The sequence below is a fragment of the Homo sapiens genome, chromosome 11 (genome assembly GCF_000001405.40).
Source record: "Homo sapiens chromosome 11, GRCh38.p14 Primary Assembly".
Taxonomy (NCBI): domain Eukaryota; kingdom Metazoa; phylum Chordata; class Mammalia; order Primates; family Hominidae; genus Homo; species Homo sapiens.
Genome location: NC_000011.10, coordinates 38,451,024 through 38,467,963, shown reverse-complemented (window position 1 = coordinate 38,467,963; position 16,940 = coordinate 38,451,024).

Genomic DNA, 16,940 nt, shown 5'->3' with positions numbered 1-16,940 from the left:
GATTATTCTGCCCTGTAAGTCTATTCTAATTTTTTTTCTGATGGATTATTAATTTGTTGATTATTGCCAAAGTAGTCATTCATTTCGTTTTGTTTTGTGTTATGTTTTATTTATGCATGGGACTGGCTCATAGTCAATGCTCTGTCAACATTTGTTGAATTTACTTTGTAGTCTCTCTAGTGGCATTTTTTTTTTCAACTTTTAAGTTCAGGGGTACATGTGCAAGTTTGTTTTATAGGTAAATTACATGTCACAGGGGTTCGGTGTACAGATTAGTTCATCATCCAGGTAATAAGCATAGTACCTAATAGATAGTTTTAAGATCCTTACCCTCCTCCCACTCTCCACACTCAAGTAAGTCCTGGTGTCTCTTTTACCTTCTTTATGTCCCTGTGTACTCAGTGTTTAACTCCCACTTATAAGTGACAACATGTGGTGTTTCAGTTTCTGTTCCTCTGTTAGTTTGTTTAGGATAATGCTCTCCGGATCCATTTATGTTGATACAAAGACATGATCTCGTTCTTTATCATGGCTGCATAGTATTCAATCGTGTATATGTACCACATTTTCTTTATCCAGTCTATCGTTGATGGGCATCTAGGTTGATTCTGTGTCCTTGCTATTGTTAATAGTGCTGCAATGAACATATGTATGCGTGTGTCTTTATGACAGAATGATTTATATTCCCTTGGATATATACTCAATATAAGATTGCTGGGTCAAATGGTGTTTCAGTTTGAAGTTCTTTGAGAAATCACCAAACCACATTTCACAATGATTGAAGTAATTTACATTCCCACCAGAAGTGTATAAGTGTTCCCTTTTCTCCACAGTCTCACCAGCATTTGTTATTTTTGTTTACTTTTTCATAATAGCCATTCTGACTGGTGTGAGATGGTATCTGGTTGTGGTTTTCATATTCATTTCTCTAAAGTTTAGTGATGTTGAACATTTTGATATGCTTATAGATCATGTGTATGTTTTCTTTAGAAAAGTATTTGTTCATGCCTTTTGCCCACTTTTTATGTTTTTCTTTTCTGGTAAACTTGTTAAATTTCTTTATAGAGGCTGGATATTAGGCCTTTGTTAGATGCATAGATTGCAAAATTTTTCTCCCATTCTGTAGGTTGTTTTTATTACCCTGTTGATTGTTTCTTTTGTTGTGCAGAGGCTCTTAAATTTAACTAGATCATATTTGTCAATTTTTGCTTTTGTTGTAATTGCTTTTGACATCTTTGTCGTGAAATTTTTGCCAGTTCCTATATTCAGAATTATATTACCTAGGTGGTCTTCTTAGATATTCATAGTTCTGAGGTTTACATTTAAATCTTTAATCTATCTTGAGTTGATTTTTATATATTATGTAAGGAAGGGGTCCAGTGTCAATATTCTGCATATGGCTAGCCAGTTATCTCATCACCATTGATTTAACAGGAAGTCCTTTCCACATTGCTTGTTTTTGACAGCTTTGTTGAAGATCAGATGGTTGTAGGTATCTGGCCCTATTTCTGAGTAGCCCCTTTTTAAAATGTTGATTTTAAAGTCAAGGTGAATTGGAGCAATCAGTCCTTCAGGTATGCTAAATATTTTGATCTATGTGTTGCAAAGAAGCTCTTTAATGTCAATGTTCTGTGTTTTTTCTAATTCTGCAAATAATGCCATTGGTAGTTCGATAATTTGATAGGAATAAAATTGAATCCGTAAATTGCTTTGGGCAGAATAGCTATTTTAACAATATTGATTCTTCCCATCCATGAGCATGGAATGTTTTCTCCATTCATTTGTGCAATCTGTGATTTCTTTGAACAGCATTTTATAATTCATGTTGTAGAGATCTTTCATCTCCCTGGCTAGCTGTCTTCCTAGATATTTTCTTCTTTTTTGTGGCTCCTGTGAATGGGATTGGGTTACTGATTTCGCTCTCACCTAGGATGTTGTTGATGTATAGAAATGGTACTGATTTTTGTTCATTGAGTTTGTATCCTAAAACTGCTGAAGATGTTTATCAGATCAAGGAACTATTGGACAGACACTAAGGGGTTTTCTAGGTATAAAATCATATTGATCATATTGTCTATAAAAAGAGATATTGGACTTCCTCTCTTCCTATTTGGATGCTTTTTATTTCTTTCTCTTGCCTGATTGATCTGGCTAGGAATTCCCAGAACAATGTTGAATAGAAATGGTGAGACAGAGCATCTTTGTCTTGTTCTTGTTTTCAAGGGGAATGCTTCCAGCTTTTGCTCATTCAGTATGATGTTGTCTGGGGGTTTTTTACAGATGGCTCTTATATTTTGAAGTATGTTCTTTCAATCCCTAGTTTGTTGAGGGTTTTGAACACAAAAGGATGCTGAATTCTATCAAAATCTTTTTTATTCCATACATTAGAGCAAACATGTTTTAGGTATGTTTATATATATATAATATATATAATATATATATTAATATTATATATAATATATATTATATATATTTATTCCAGACTCACATAAACATAGCACAGACCAATGATTGATTACTAGATATTTAGTTAGAAGTAAATATGAATTGAAACCCATCTACCAAGTTCAGAAATAGTATGTGAAAATGTACATCTAGGATCCAGGAAAAATAATATTTTACTTAACAAGTCATTCCTTTGTACATGTGTTTTTTACATGGGTTTATAAAAATCATTAAGCTCTTCTAAAAACTAAGCCATAAATCTAATACTAAACATTAAGGATCAGTGGAATTAACCAGTGTCTGCATATCTGTTTTGATACTCACTGGGTGGTTAAGAAACTGAATAAGCAAACTAAGGAGCCCAAATAGAAAATCTACTGAAATTGAATTTCTTCATTGGAATCAAATTTAACATATAACATATTTATCCAAGTTTGCTCTTGCATTTGGCTTTTATTCCTTTTACTAGCCCATCTTTTACAAAAGTACATTATTGACAGAAGGCAGCTCTTTTCCCTAGTGCGTGAAGCACTTTTTATTTCTCTAAAATAAAAGGTGGTAACTGTGACTGTGGAGAAAGGCCGTCACTACTAAACCCAAGGTACCAAGTAAGGAAGGCAAGCAGGGAAGAAATGTGCTACCTACGATTCTCTCCTCCTGTCCCCTCATCTGTCGATGTCTGAAGTATTTCCAGTATCCTAACTGGTGCCTTGTTTCTTATTGCCACACAGATGATTCTTAGCATGGCAGCCAGACTAAGCCATTCTATAGAGAAGTCAAACCATATTACTTCTCTTCCTAAAGCCTTGCAATGGCGTTCTGTAAAGGCCGAAGTTCTTCCAATGGTTTAGAAAGTCTGGATTAATTTCTATTTTTCCCCTGACTCCCCATCTCCTCACATGCGCTTTGTTTTAGGCTCTCACATCCTAGTACTCTCCTCTGGCTCACTCCACTGTGGTCTCACTCCTGACTGTACCTTTAAATTTGGACTTGTTTCTCCCTCAGGGCTTTTGCTCAACTGCACTCACATAACAACATGTACTTGGCTTCCTTTCTCACCTCTTTCAAATTTTCCTTCAAGTCCAGTCTTCTCATTGAAGCCAGACCTGATTATCTGTTTAATATTTCAATGCACACTCATCTTGAGCCCAGTCTCTGGTATCCCAACTTAATTTTCCATTTATTTATTTATTTTTGCACAGCATTTATCACCTCCTACCATCTTACACGTTTCTGATTCATTATGCTTTTTTTTTTTCTTTTTTATTGCTGATTGTTTGTTGCTTTCTCCTTGCTAGATTGAGCAGTCTGGAAATCAAGCATCTTTGTTCATTGATGGTACTGAAGCACCAAGAGTGCCAAATAAAAAATTAATAAATACTTGTTGGGAGTAATAAATAAATGCCAAGACTTACTGGTTTTAATTGACCTAAAGAAATGATGTATTTATCCTAATATTAGGATAAGTAATCACTTAAGTCTAAGCTTATGAGAGGAATTACACCAACTGTGTATAAACAAAAGTATTTGATAATTTTTGCTAAGAATTCAGCATTTTTGTTTAAAGACAGGGTTTGAAAATGGTGGCACTATGTGGATTGTTAGAGTATATATATTGTGTGTACAAATGTATGTAATTCATTAAAGTAATATTTTGGTTTTTTACATCAATAAATTATTTCTGAAATAGTTTCATAGCCCCAGATTCTAAATATGTAATATTAGCTTAAAATGTCATAGTTTGACAAAATTTATGAACAACTAGCTTCACTGCCTACTCCTTCAGTCAGGCAGCATATTTCACTTCATATTCCATTCTTTGTTTTCCAAGGGAATGTGTTAGCAAAGCAAAATGTGGAGTATAATACATGAAAAAGGAAGTTGTAGAGGTTATGAATAGATCCTCACAAACTTTTCTCTCTAAGGAGGAAAAATATTCTAGCCAAGTCTGCTCATGCTTTTAGAAATAGTTCTGAAAATCTTGGTTTGCTATCTCTTAAGTGGGTGGCTATTTAAGAATTGTTCATTTCTCTTTCTGGCATCAGCTGGCATCAGATTTTTACTTTAGTCATCCACTTAAAACCTTAGTTTGGGATGAGTTGTTATGGTCACAAAATGTATCCTTTTGAGTACTGGAGACCTGGGTTCTAGACCTGGCTCAATTATGTTCTAGCTGAATGATCAGTAGGCAAATCATTAAATCGAAGTTTCTGATTTCTTCATATACTTATCAATCTGTAATTTTTATCATCTCTGAGGTTAAAATGATATAATATATAAATAAAAAGATTTTAAAGGTATTGTTCAAGTGTTAAATATTTTTACTGTAGAGTATCATTAAAATAACCTAAATTAATAAAATAGAAGGTGAACTGTTGGTTTTACATAGTAATTTCTTCCAATTAATAACAAAAGGTTAAAAAATAAGATGACAATATTTAAAATTATTGATACTTTTCTTTGATTGAAGAACAAATACAGAAGTTTCATGGTTCCTTAAGGTCATTATTATGACTAGCAATATTGTTGACAATGGAAGAAAGCTGTAGAAGAATTAATTAATGTGGACAAGAGATGGCCACATTAATACTCTCAAGGTGGTGTTGAATTTTGTCTAATTCACCATTAACAGAATAATTGCTTTCCAGTGAAATTTGTGTATTCTCTACAGATTGTCATGAGCCTTTCCAAATAGAGATTAAGTTAGAACTGACCTGATGCTGTATTATTGCCAATAATAAAGAATAGTAAGGGTCTTTCTTGCCTATCAAATGTACAAAATAATTTAGAAATTAAATATTTTCTATACAGTATAACTCAGAAACAGACTCAAGTTTATATAAATCTGAATTATAATCTATTGCTGATAAGGAATATAATGTAATTGACAAAAAAGCCAACTCTTATATCTATTAGTCAATACATTCTTCCATTGAGAAGTACCATAAGAAGTAAAAATATAATCGAACAATTGTTTCTCAGTTGTGGATTCAGAACTGGGGTGCAATTTTAATATGAAAAGTGTTGCTATTAGTGATATGGACAGGAGACAGGGAAATACTGGGTCCAAGAGAGTGGTTCCCCGGCAAAGGCCCCATCCTCAAGCCCGAAGACCTGAGGCCCTAAATGAGGACAGGTATTTCTGCTTTCATGCCCCAAAAGTTGCCTTTTGGCCTGCCACCCCCTCATCCTGCCCCCATATAAACCCGAGACCATAGCAGTCACACACACATGTGGCTGAACGTAGGGACCAGCAGAGCAGCTACTGCAGAGCAACATGGCAGAGAAATAGAGAAGAGGAGGGATGTCTGGAGGCTAAGGGGAGTTCAGCCAGGGACGGTAGAAGAGTCCAGCTGATGGGTGGCCAGACTCCAGGCGAAGACCACCTTCCCACTCCATCTCCCCTGCTTCTGGCTCCCCATCCATCTCACTGAGAGCCACCTCGACCCCTCAATAAAAACTTGCACTCATTCTTGGAGCCCAAATGTGATGCAATTTTTTCCAGTACACTGGGCAAGGACTCCGGCTGTCACACTGGCCTCTTGCCCTTGCAATAAGACAGAGGGTCCATTGAGCTGATTAACACATAAGCTGTCTAGAGACAGCAAATATGAAAGAACTTGGAAACGCACACCCATCTGGGCTTCAGGAGATGCAGACACTCACCCCTAGTTGCTGCTGTGGGGTCAAAGCCCAAAAGCGCTCATGCCAGCCTCTGTACCTGCCCGTCTGCCTGATCCCCCTAGGGGTTTGAACTTCAGGGCAACCAAGCATGCAACACCCTTGTTGCACATCCTGCGAGGGGAATCAGGGAACTCTCCTGTTTCATAAGGAAAGTTTAATATTAGGTAATAATAGAATAACAATATTTTTACATACAAGAATGCATGTCATCTATGTTAGTGACTTAGCAGGGATTTTTGGTCCAGTTACTTGAAAATATGTCATGGTCATGTGGTCTCTGGATGGATTGCTGTAGTATGACATTATATTTAAAACTAGCTGGTTACCTTTCCAGACACTTTTGTTGGAGAAAACAGTAATAAATTGCTGTGAAGAGTGCTAAAATACTGCATTTGACCTAAAAAATAGTTGTTTCTCCAAATTAAAGAAGGGAGATTATTTACAAAGCTAGATAAAATAAGTTTGAAATGAATCCCAACGTTTAATGATACTAGCTATTACAAAATAACTCCAACTATTAGTAAGCTTAGTTCAGTTACATTACCTCTTATATCACCTTTGAATTGTTCTTGAAGCATTGCTTATTTTCTGGACAGCATTGCCAATACAGTTTAGCTAACTGTGAGGCCTGCCTGTCAACTACTTCCCTTCTGTATTTCTAATGGTTTGGAGAGTAATTACTCCCCAGAGGCTGTAGCATGCCCCGTGCAATATGAGCTGAGCAGTCTGACCAGAAATTCTTATAGGCCTAAGCCTGGGCTCCTGCCAACTCAAACAGTAGGAGGATTCTTGGCTTCTAAAGTAATTTTGGTACACAAAGCCAAGAAAGAGTTTCTGGATGGTTTTAGTTGATTTTAGATTTTAAAAGCCGTGGGTTCCTTGAACAGACCAGGCTACTTTATGAGAAAAAAACTGAAAAGTACTGACTAAAATTGGTCTTTTCTTCATTATCCTAGGTAATCTAGGCTATTGGAGATGGGGAACGTTGAGTCGCACCACTCCTGTTGCTTTAAAATAGGCCGTTTTACCTAACAAGATAGGACTCTATTTTTTCTTTTTCTTTTTCTTTTTTTTTTTTTGGGGGGATACAGTGTCTAGCTCTGTTGCCCAGGCTGGAGTGCAGTGGCATGATCTTGGCTGACTGCAACCTCCACCTCCCAGGTTCAAGCAATTCCCATGTCTCAGCCTGAGTAGCTGGGGATTCATGCAACTTAATATGACAAGTTAGCTAGGAATTTTTCCTCCCAGCCATCAACATTTAACCTTTGTTGCACATAAATGCATGAAATAAATTAGCCACAACTTTTGAAAACATTGCAATAAAATGCATAACTGCAGAGGACGAAACCAGATGAAATGGAAAAATATTTATCTGAAAATAAGTAAATGTGTTTGACCATTTGGTTGGTATATGATGTGCTTTTTCTCTAAAATCATGGACAAGTCAATATTCACTTTAATATTAAATTTAAATATTAAAATACATGAATTTCTATCAAAGATATAAGTAGGTTTATTAAATTATTATCATTTTATTTTAGTATTGCCTTGCTTAAAGTTAGCAACTTAAGATATTATTTAAAGATAATATTGTATACCCTTCATTGAGGAAAAGGAAATTCTATGAGAAAATAAGACAATAAATACCCTAATTATTTTATCTTTTTAATATTATTAATGAAGTCTTATGCAAAGTAAAAGTGAACATACTCATTAATATCTTTTCCAATGAATCCAATACCTCATAGAATTAAGTAATCTATAATTTAAAAATATCACAAAATATTAGTAGAAAAGTAATTTTTGATTTCATAAAGTTTTGGCACATTGTTGGGAATTAACTAGCATGACTTTTTATAGGTTACATGTTAACAAAATCGGGATTACTGCAAATGAATCATACTTTTTAAAAAAATCCTGGGGTAAATTATATTCTAATGTATATGATTAAGAAAGATTAATTTTAAAAACATTTTATTGAAATTTTATTTTATGTGTTACTGTTTTATGCCCAGAGATGACAGTAGTAGCCGTAGATAAAAGTTTCCTGCTCTTATATACCCTTTTATTTACAAGAAAGCTTATGTGTATTTCAAACTTATTTACTCTATCATGTGAAAGTCTTCTGGTCTCACACTATTTCTGTATACTGCATTAAGTGATTAAGGACATTGTGCAGAGGAGCATGCTGCTGGCAGATGGAGGGGAAACCACTTCTATCATTAGTCTCCCAGAACATTAGACTATTTTGAAAGATAGTCTACTCAAAGGAAGAATACTTAAACAATTGTTCAGTGACTCTTTGATTAGTACTATTTTTCTATTTGAAGGCTACAATGACTAAAACATTATAAATGTTGCCTTGTAGAAATAGATGGAACTGTTAAGCAATATTGTATACTGCATTCAACTATACTGTGTTCAGTTATCTATCTCTCCTTCAAGTAATCTTTTTGACTTGGATTACATTGACTCTGTTTTCAGAGATAATCTTTATTAGTCTGGGCCATTTATAGTACTCCATCTGTTTCGCCAATGATAGTATGGAAGTCTTGGCTTTAAGCAATCAACATATGGCATTTCCTGGTGATTATTACTGGTCTACAAATTGGCACATAGTCTATGTTAGCTCAGTGAGATTAAAGAAAAGCATTTGTATTCTCTGCTTAAATGAATAGTTGTCTCTCCTCCACTAAAAGTGAAGAGGGAACAGTCATGAGTTGATATGGTTTTGCTGTGTCCCCACTGAAATCTCATCTCGAATTGTAGTTCCCATAATCCCCATGTGTCATGGGAGGGACCAGGTGCGAGGTAATTGAATCATGGGGTTGGTTACTCCATGATGTTCTTGTGATAGTGAGTGAGTTATCATGAGATCTGATAGTTTTATAAGGGGCTTTTCCACCTTTGCCCAGCACTTCTCCTTCCTGCAGCCATGTGAAGAAGAATGTGATTATTTTCCCTTCTGCCATGATTGTAAGTGTCCTGAGGCTTCCTGAGCCATGCTGAACTGAGTCAATTAAACCTCTTTCCTTTATAAATTACCCAGTCTTGGGTATGTCTTTATTAGCAGCATGAGAACCAACTAAAACATGAGTGAAGCCAGCCTAAAGGAAGAACCAAGATAATCACAGTCTATACTCCCTATTGTTTAATGTCATATTAAATGTGAAAAAAGTTACTTTATTCAATTTACACTACTTTAAATTGGGTTCTCTATAACTTGAAGCTAAATGTATCTTCAACTGATACAGCCAATAAGAGACAAAGCCTTATTTAAACCCAATTCTCTCTGACTCCAAATCCAATTCTTTTTCATGGTGTTTGAAATAAATGGAATGTATATATTCAGCGACGTTGTAAGTCAACTAATTCTAACCTGATATGCTATAGCTTGCTATGTCTTGTTTTCATATTCTTCAGATAATTGTCTGATTATTCAGATTTATGAAAAACAGCAACAAATGCACAAACACCTTACCACTCAGAGGATCTAACTAAATTGAGTGGCTTTGGAAAATTTAATCAATATCAAAATTATAACCCAAATTCCAAGTTTACATTTTCATTTTTAAAAATTTTGCTAGTATAAATAATTATACAGATTATTTTTGTTTATTTTGACCACATGTTCTTGCTAGTCCTTTCCCTTTGCATGAATAATGGAGTTGCCAATGTGATTTGGGGTTGTAATATTTTCCTACAATGATGAAAAACCACCTTTGTATATTTTTTTAGATTTCAAAAGCTATATGTATAGGGGTTAAAGGGAAGAAAGAGGAGCATATAAATAAATTGATTCAAAAGAATTTATTCAACACCTGGTTGTGAGAAATACACTACAGGCACATTAAATATTGTGATTGATTCTGGAAAAGTTGATCGATAAAAAATTTATGGGAAGCAATATTCAGAAAGGAAAAATAAAAGTTAATCTTTTCAAGTTATAGGATCCTTTTCAGCAGAGATAAACAATTTAGAAAGTCATATGATAGATAAGTGTTGGTAAGCATTAATTTCAACAAGGAGAGGGAGAATGTGGTTAATCTGGAGGAAGAAAACGTAGTGTTTGTTCAGTAGAAAGCATGTGTTCAGCCAGTTTAAGGGAATAAGGAAAGTTGAGCAAAACAGAACAGAAGCAAGATATCAATAGAAGGCTGCAAATCATTATTATTTTGGGGACAATTAAAGTCATGTGGGTCAAAAGCAAACGTAGATTTTTCAAAAAGGAAGACTGGGATATACTAGGCCAACATCTTTGTAGTTTTGGTAGTGCTGTGAGTCTGCCATTCACAATAGTGATATGATAATAAAAGAGTTACCTTAAATTGAGTTAATTATTAGAGAGGAGGGAACTAACTTTGGTTAGAGAATGTTAGAAAGGAGTATCTAGAATGAAACTGCATGATGAACAAAAGAGTTCATAATAGAATATCTCATACCGTAGATAAAAAAGATTGAACAGCCTGAACTTTGGGAAAATTCTTATTTACTGCAAGTAAGTTTCATTTCCTTCTGTGGTTGTCATAGCAAGTTTAAATAATTAATTAAGTGTTTTTGGATCAATGTTGTCTAAGTTGCCTTTGATATCACCACTGCAGAGAAGGACGCATTCCAAAACCCCCAGGGGATGACACCTGAACCGATAGATAGCACCTAAACCTATATATACTATGTATTCCCTATCCATATGTTTCTATGATAAGATTTAATTTATAAATTATGCATTAAGAAATTAACAACAATAACTAATGATAGAATATAACACTTATAACAATATGCCAGCATCGCTACTCTTGCACTCTGGGGCTATTATTAAGTAAAATAAAGGTCTCTTGAAGACAAGCATTATTATACTGTGACAAGTCAATCCAAAAACTGAGATGGTTACTAAATGACTAAAGGCAAGTAGTATATACAGTGTGGATACACTAAATAAAGGAATAATATTATTTCCATCATATAGCATTTCAAGCACAAGTAGTCTAGGCTGGTATAATAGCTTCACATGTCTAGAGTTCAGGCTACCTTTTTGATATTCTGTCTTTAATGTGTCACCCATGATCTCAAAAACTTGCTCTAGCTCTTGCTATCATACCTGACTTGATAACAATATATTAGCCTCTAGAGGCTCCTACACTGGATTTTAAGGTTATATGAGGCAATACATTTTCTTTATTGGATTGGGTTATGTTCAGTTGGGTTATGTTCATCCTCATTCTTCTCTCTAAATAACAATCCAGGTATTTCAATCCTTGTATTTATTATAGCATGCTATGGTTATTTACTTTGTGACTCAAGATTATGGGCTATAATGAGTCATATTCACTCTTCTTTTTTCCTCCCTTAACACATATTCTGACAGAAAGTCGAAGTCTAATGAAAATTATCGAATAAATGAACTAGATGATAAGAATTCAAGGAATTAAACTGCAAATTTCATAAACGTCTATGCCATATTTGTTTTTGAAAGAAAGCATCCTGGAAATACTTGTCTGGAAACCAGAAAGCCAGAATTGAGTTTGGCTTTGTAACTCACTATTTTTTTTTCTGAAGCCATTTTGTCATCTGTGCTTATGTTTTCACAGCAAGAAGCTTTCTAATAGAAATTAGTATTCTTTTCTTCTCTTTCTGTTCTTTACTTATTTCTCCTTATACATGGAAAGGTGACTTTCCAATATATCCAATATAGTGGGTGAACTTGGGAAAGGAAACTAGTAATGAACATGTTCAGTTTTATCCCTTCTTGTATTCACTTTGGGATGTGCCAACATGCAGACTTACGTGTTTAAGTTTCCCTTCTGCTATGCACTATAATACTCTGACCTTTTAGAGTGAATCCTGTAATTGATCTAGCTGTTAGCATATGTGCATAATTATGTGTAATTTAGTGATGAAGTATTAAAAACAGCACTTAGCCATCAACTGAAGTCTTGTCTTCCAATGGCTCTATCAGTAGCTGATGTAACAGTTTTTTCTCCATCCTCTGTATCTTAGTCCACGCAGGCTACCATAACAAAATACCATAAACTGGGTAGCTTATAAGCAACAGAAATTTATTTCTTACAGTCATGGAGGTGAGGAAGTGAAGGATCAAGGTACCTGCACATGTAGTGTCTGGTGAGGGCCCCACATTCTGGTTCATAGACCACAACTTCCAGCTGTGATCTCACATGGTGGAAGGAGCAAGGCTGTTCTCTAGGACCTCTTTACTAAGGGCACTAATCATATTCTCATAACTAAATCACCTCCAAAAATGTCTACCTTCTAATACCATCACATTTGTGGTTAGGTTTTTAACATATTAATTTGGCTGGGTGGGGGTGGGGGAGGGAGGCGTGTTGCAGAGTCATTCAGACCAAAGGACTGTGTTTATATCTTAACAATTTTCTTTCACATAAGAACATTAAAAAGTTTCTCAACAATCTCTAAATCAACAAAATTATCCATGACCTGAGTTCAGAAATTTTAATTGCATGTGCCTGACATTATTTGCCAGGATAATTACATGAATATTACAGATTTCATACTATCATAAAATTATAGTCTAAGTGTCCTTCCAAACATCTGAATTATATAACACTAGTACAGTATAAGAATATTAGTTATTCAGGTATTCACCAATGTAACTTATCATCAGAGTCATTGGGAGACTTCTAATAACTAAAGAATTATTTAAAATCAATAGAGCTACTCAATCAGACTTTCTGAGAAAAAATAGAAATTCAGTATTCTTGCCTGTTTTTAAGTTATTCAGGTGATTATCACTATCTGCCATTTTACAAAAGTTCAAGAACCACTAATTTAATACCCTATCATGGCCAAAATCTAACACATTTAATGACCAATAATACTTCCAGCACCAGATGACTAGGAGGATTTAGACACTATATGTTGACTTAGTGTACTCCAAACTTTTCTGCAAGAAATAGAAGTGTCCAGTGAGATATTGATTGGTCTCACACATAGCACATGTGTGCAAATACACGCACAAACACACATACATCAATTACAGATACTGATACAGTTTGGTTCTGTGTCCCCACCCAAATCTCACCTTGAATTGTAATATTCTCCGCAGGTCATGGAAGGGACCCGGTGGGAGGTAACTGAATCATGGGGGTGGGTTTTTTCCTGTGCTGTTCTTGTGATAGTGAATAAGTCTCATGAGATCTGATCATTTTATAAAGGGGAATCCCTGTGCCTGCTGCCATGTAAGACGTCCTTTGTTCTTCCTTCATCTTATGCCATGATTGTGAGGCTTCCCCAGCCATGTGGAACTGAGTCCATTAAACCTCTTTTTTTTTTTTTATTATTAGCCTCGGGTATGTCTTTATTAGCAGTTTATTAGCAGTGTGAGAACACACTAATACAGACACCATAGAGATTACTGTAGCGAAACACATTTGGAAATACTAGAGAAAGTCAAAGTTAAAAAGTCGCAAAGATTTATTAGAAATTTAGTATCTTGGAGTACTTTGTAATTCTACAAGAGCTGGTAAGGTATCTGTATTTTCCATTTACATTCGATTCTGAACTCCAATATAATTGGACCACATTTTGGGAAATATTGAGTTTATATCTATAAAAATGCACTATTAATTATAAATTTCAATAATATGTATACTATTATATAGCATTATTATTATATTATTTATAAACTACATTCATATTTGCTCAAATTGAATGGCCAAATTAAAATCTTATATTTTTTATTTACATATAACAGTTGTACAAATTTTGGGGGTACATATGATACTTTGATACCTGTATACAATATATAATGATCAAATCAGGGTATTTGGGATATCCATAACCTCAAATACTTTTCTTTGTGTAGGGAACATTATAATTCTTTTTCTTTAGCTATTTTGAAATATCTTATTTCAAATAGCTAAGGGAAAATTAGCTATTTTGAAATAAATTATTGTTAATTATAATTTCCCTACTGTACTATCAAATACTAGAACTTATTCCTTCTATCCAACCATATTACTGTATCATGTAATCAAATTCTCTTCACTCCCTTCTCCTGCCTTCACATCCCAGCCTTTGGCAACCACTATTCTACTGTCTGCTTCCATGAGATCCACTTTTTTAACTCCCAAATATGGAGTGAGAACATATGATATTTGACCTTAAAAACTTAGTATCTCAGATCAATACTGTCAGATAAGATCAAATTTGTCTTCCATCTTTACTGGACATATAGGACTATTATAGGGTAAATGCCCCACTTTTTCTAATTATTTCTTGTTTTTCTAATTATTTTAAAACCAGTTTTATTTGTTGAGTTCTCAACAAAGGATATTGTCTTACATATATCCAAGGATTATTCTTGTAGGAAGCTATTTTTTATTGGTTCTGTATCTTAGGCGAAATAGTGTCATTATTCCCTAGGGTCCAAAGCAGTGCATCAGTTTGTTTTGGATCAAAGAGCTTTTGTCAGCACAGTATGAGTCTGCCACTCTCTAAGACACCACTTTTATTTCAGAGAGCACACTGTAACCAAATCAGTGCCTTTTTTTTTTCGAAGAAGCCCCACAAACATTGCATCTAGAATACAGAATATGGGAGCTTTTAAGTTGTAAAATAGGTCACTCCCCCATTAAATTTACAGGAGAATCAGGAAAAAAAATAATGCATGCTCTTCAGTAAGAAAACTTATCTGAATGGAAAGTGAGAAGAAAAGGAAGAAGTAGAAGGCTGAACAGAAATATTGAAAATGTATATTGATCTATCACCAAATGGAAAGCAAGAAAATTCTGAAGAAATTTTAGAAAATCAGAAAAGGAAAGGCTAGATTAGCCTCATGAAAATTTATTGACATATATGATTAAGCAGTTCCTACCTCTGAAATGCCCTCTTATCTGTCAACTTGGAGCCGTTTATCAAGTATTTCCTAGCTGAGGGTTTTGTCCTTTTAAGATTTTTCTGAACTCTATTGCTGCAATTCCTGCACCTTCTAGGGTCTCTTTTTACAATTCCTCTCTGAACATCCTGAATAATACTGTTTTATGAATTTATTGTTGTTATCACACCCAGAAGTCATAGAATTTTCTCTCTAACATACTGGAATAGGGAAATATGAAAATATTTTACAGGATTAAACTCACCTGTTGTTTTGACATGCTTTACCTAGCTTCGAAAAATATATACAGAATTACATCTGTCAGGAGACATCCTTAAGGAGGCTTTGCTAAAGTTTCCTAAAATCTGCCAAATCCAGTTTTATAATTTAAAATAAAAAATGATAAATAAAAAGTTTTAACAATAACATAATAATAATATTCTAGATTTCTTTTATCTACCTCAAGTTAACTTTCAAAAATTTCCCTCCCAAGATCCCATGAAACAATCTTTCAAATGAATGCACCTTAATGGGCAGATTAAATTTGTCCTTACTTCATCTTCTTCAACTATACATATGTGATAATGCTTACCTCTTGAATATAGTATTGACATCCATTGACTACTTAGTAGGTAGACTAGAGCATTTGAAACATGGAGCTCAGTGTATTGGTATATTTTATGGCATCAGATCTTATTCAATAAACCATATACATTCATGCTTTTCTATAATTTTTTCTGTATTAACAAAAAGAGTTAGAAATATATGGTGCTCTGGTATGCAAATAATTGGTGTCAATTTAAGCTGTCTTATGAAACATTCTCAGAGATTTTAGGGTTCTAGATCATAGCCTAAATGTTTGAGTCCTGCAGTTACTTTTTTCCAGTTCCTCCTTCCACCCTTAAGAGAAAATGCTTCCATTTTGGGATTGGACAGCCTCAATAGTGATATAAAAAGTTACTGCAGCAAGTGTAACTCATGAAAAAAAAAAAACCCACAGGTGCTATTGCTCTATGCCATCTGCAATACTAACAGTCATTGTCTAAACTAGTTTGGATTACTCTCTCTCAATGTGCTCACTTCTAGAATGCTTTGATTTCAGGGCACTGAACTACTACTGCAACTAATGTTTCTCTATAATTATTGTCACACAGTTATACCATACAGGTAATTCCAGCTTCAACATCATATAACTATTATACCGGCAAACTTTTGAACCTATACAATATAGTCTTGGTCAACATATTTTATTAGGAGATAGCTTTGGTACCTATTATAAATGTATATAAACCACTGTGCACTTGTGATGTATGGTAAAATGTACTAAAGAATAGCAAACCTACCTCCTTTTATTCCCCCATATCAAACCTAGTACAGCCAGTGATTAAATCATGTGTTTTAGGTGCTTCCCTTTATCTACCCTGATTCTGTTATAATGAGAGTCAGGGATTTTTAGGATCAAACTTCTGTGCTATTTTATAAAACATTCTTAATAATTTTGATATTACAAATACCTTAGGTCATCTTGATGATATTTCTTTTGCATGTATCCACACTTTAACATCTATGATACTTTAGGAAGACTTTTTTGTGCTGCTTAATTATCCCTTTTCCTAGTTCTTGTCCTTTTTGGGCCTTGTGAGGAACCATCCACATCTATCCCCACCATTTCCCCACTAATCTTATAGGGTTAGAGTTTAGATTCTTCCATTTTTGGCTGATTCCACATTTTTGTCAATACACAAAGACCTGATCCTCCAATCCTCTGTCATTCTGGTGACTTAAGGTTTCCACTTCTCATTGATGTAGTGTATTTTCTTTGGAACTGCAAAGCAAATATCCATTGACATCACTCAAAGTGCCCCACTTAGTATCCTTGTCCCTATATGTTGAAGGCAGCTCTGTGATCATTCCCTGATCCACTGGTACGTTAGCAACTATTACAACTATTCTATACCAT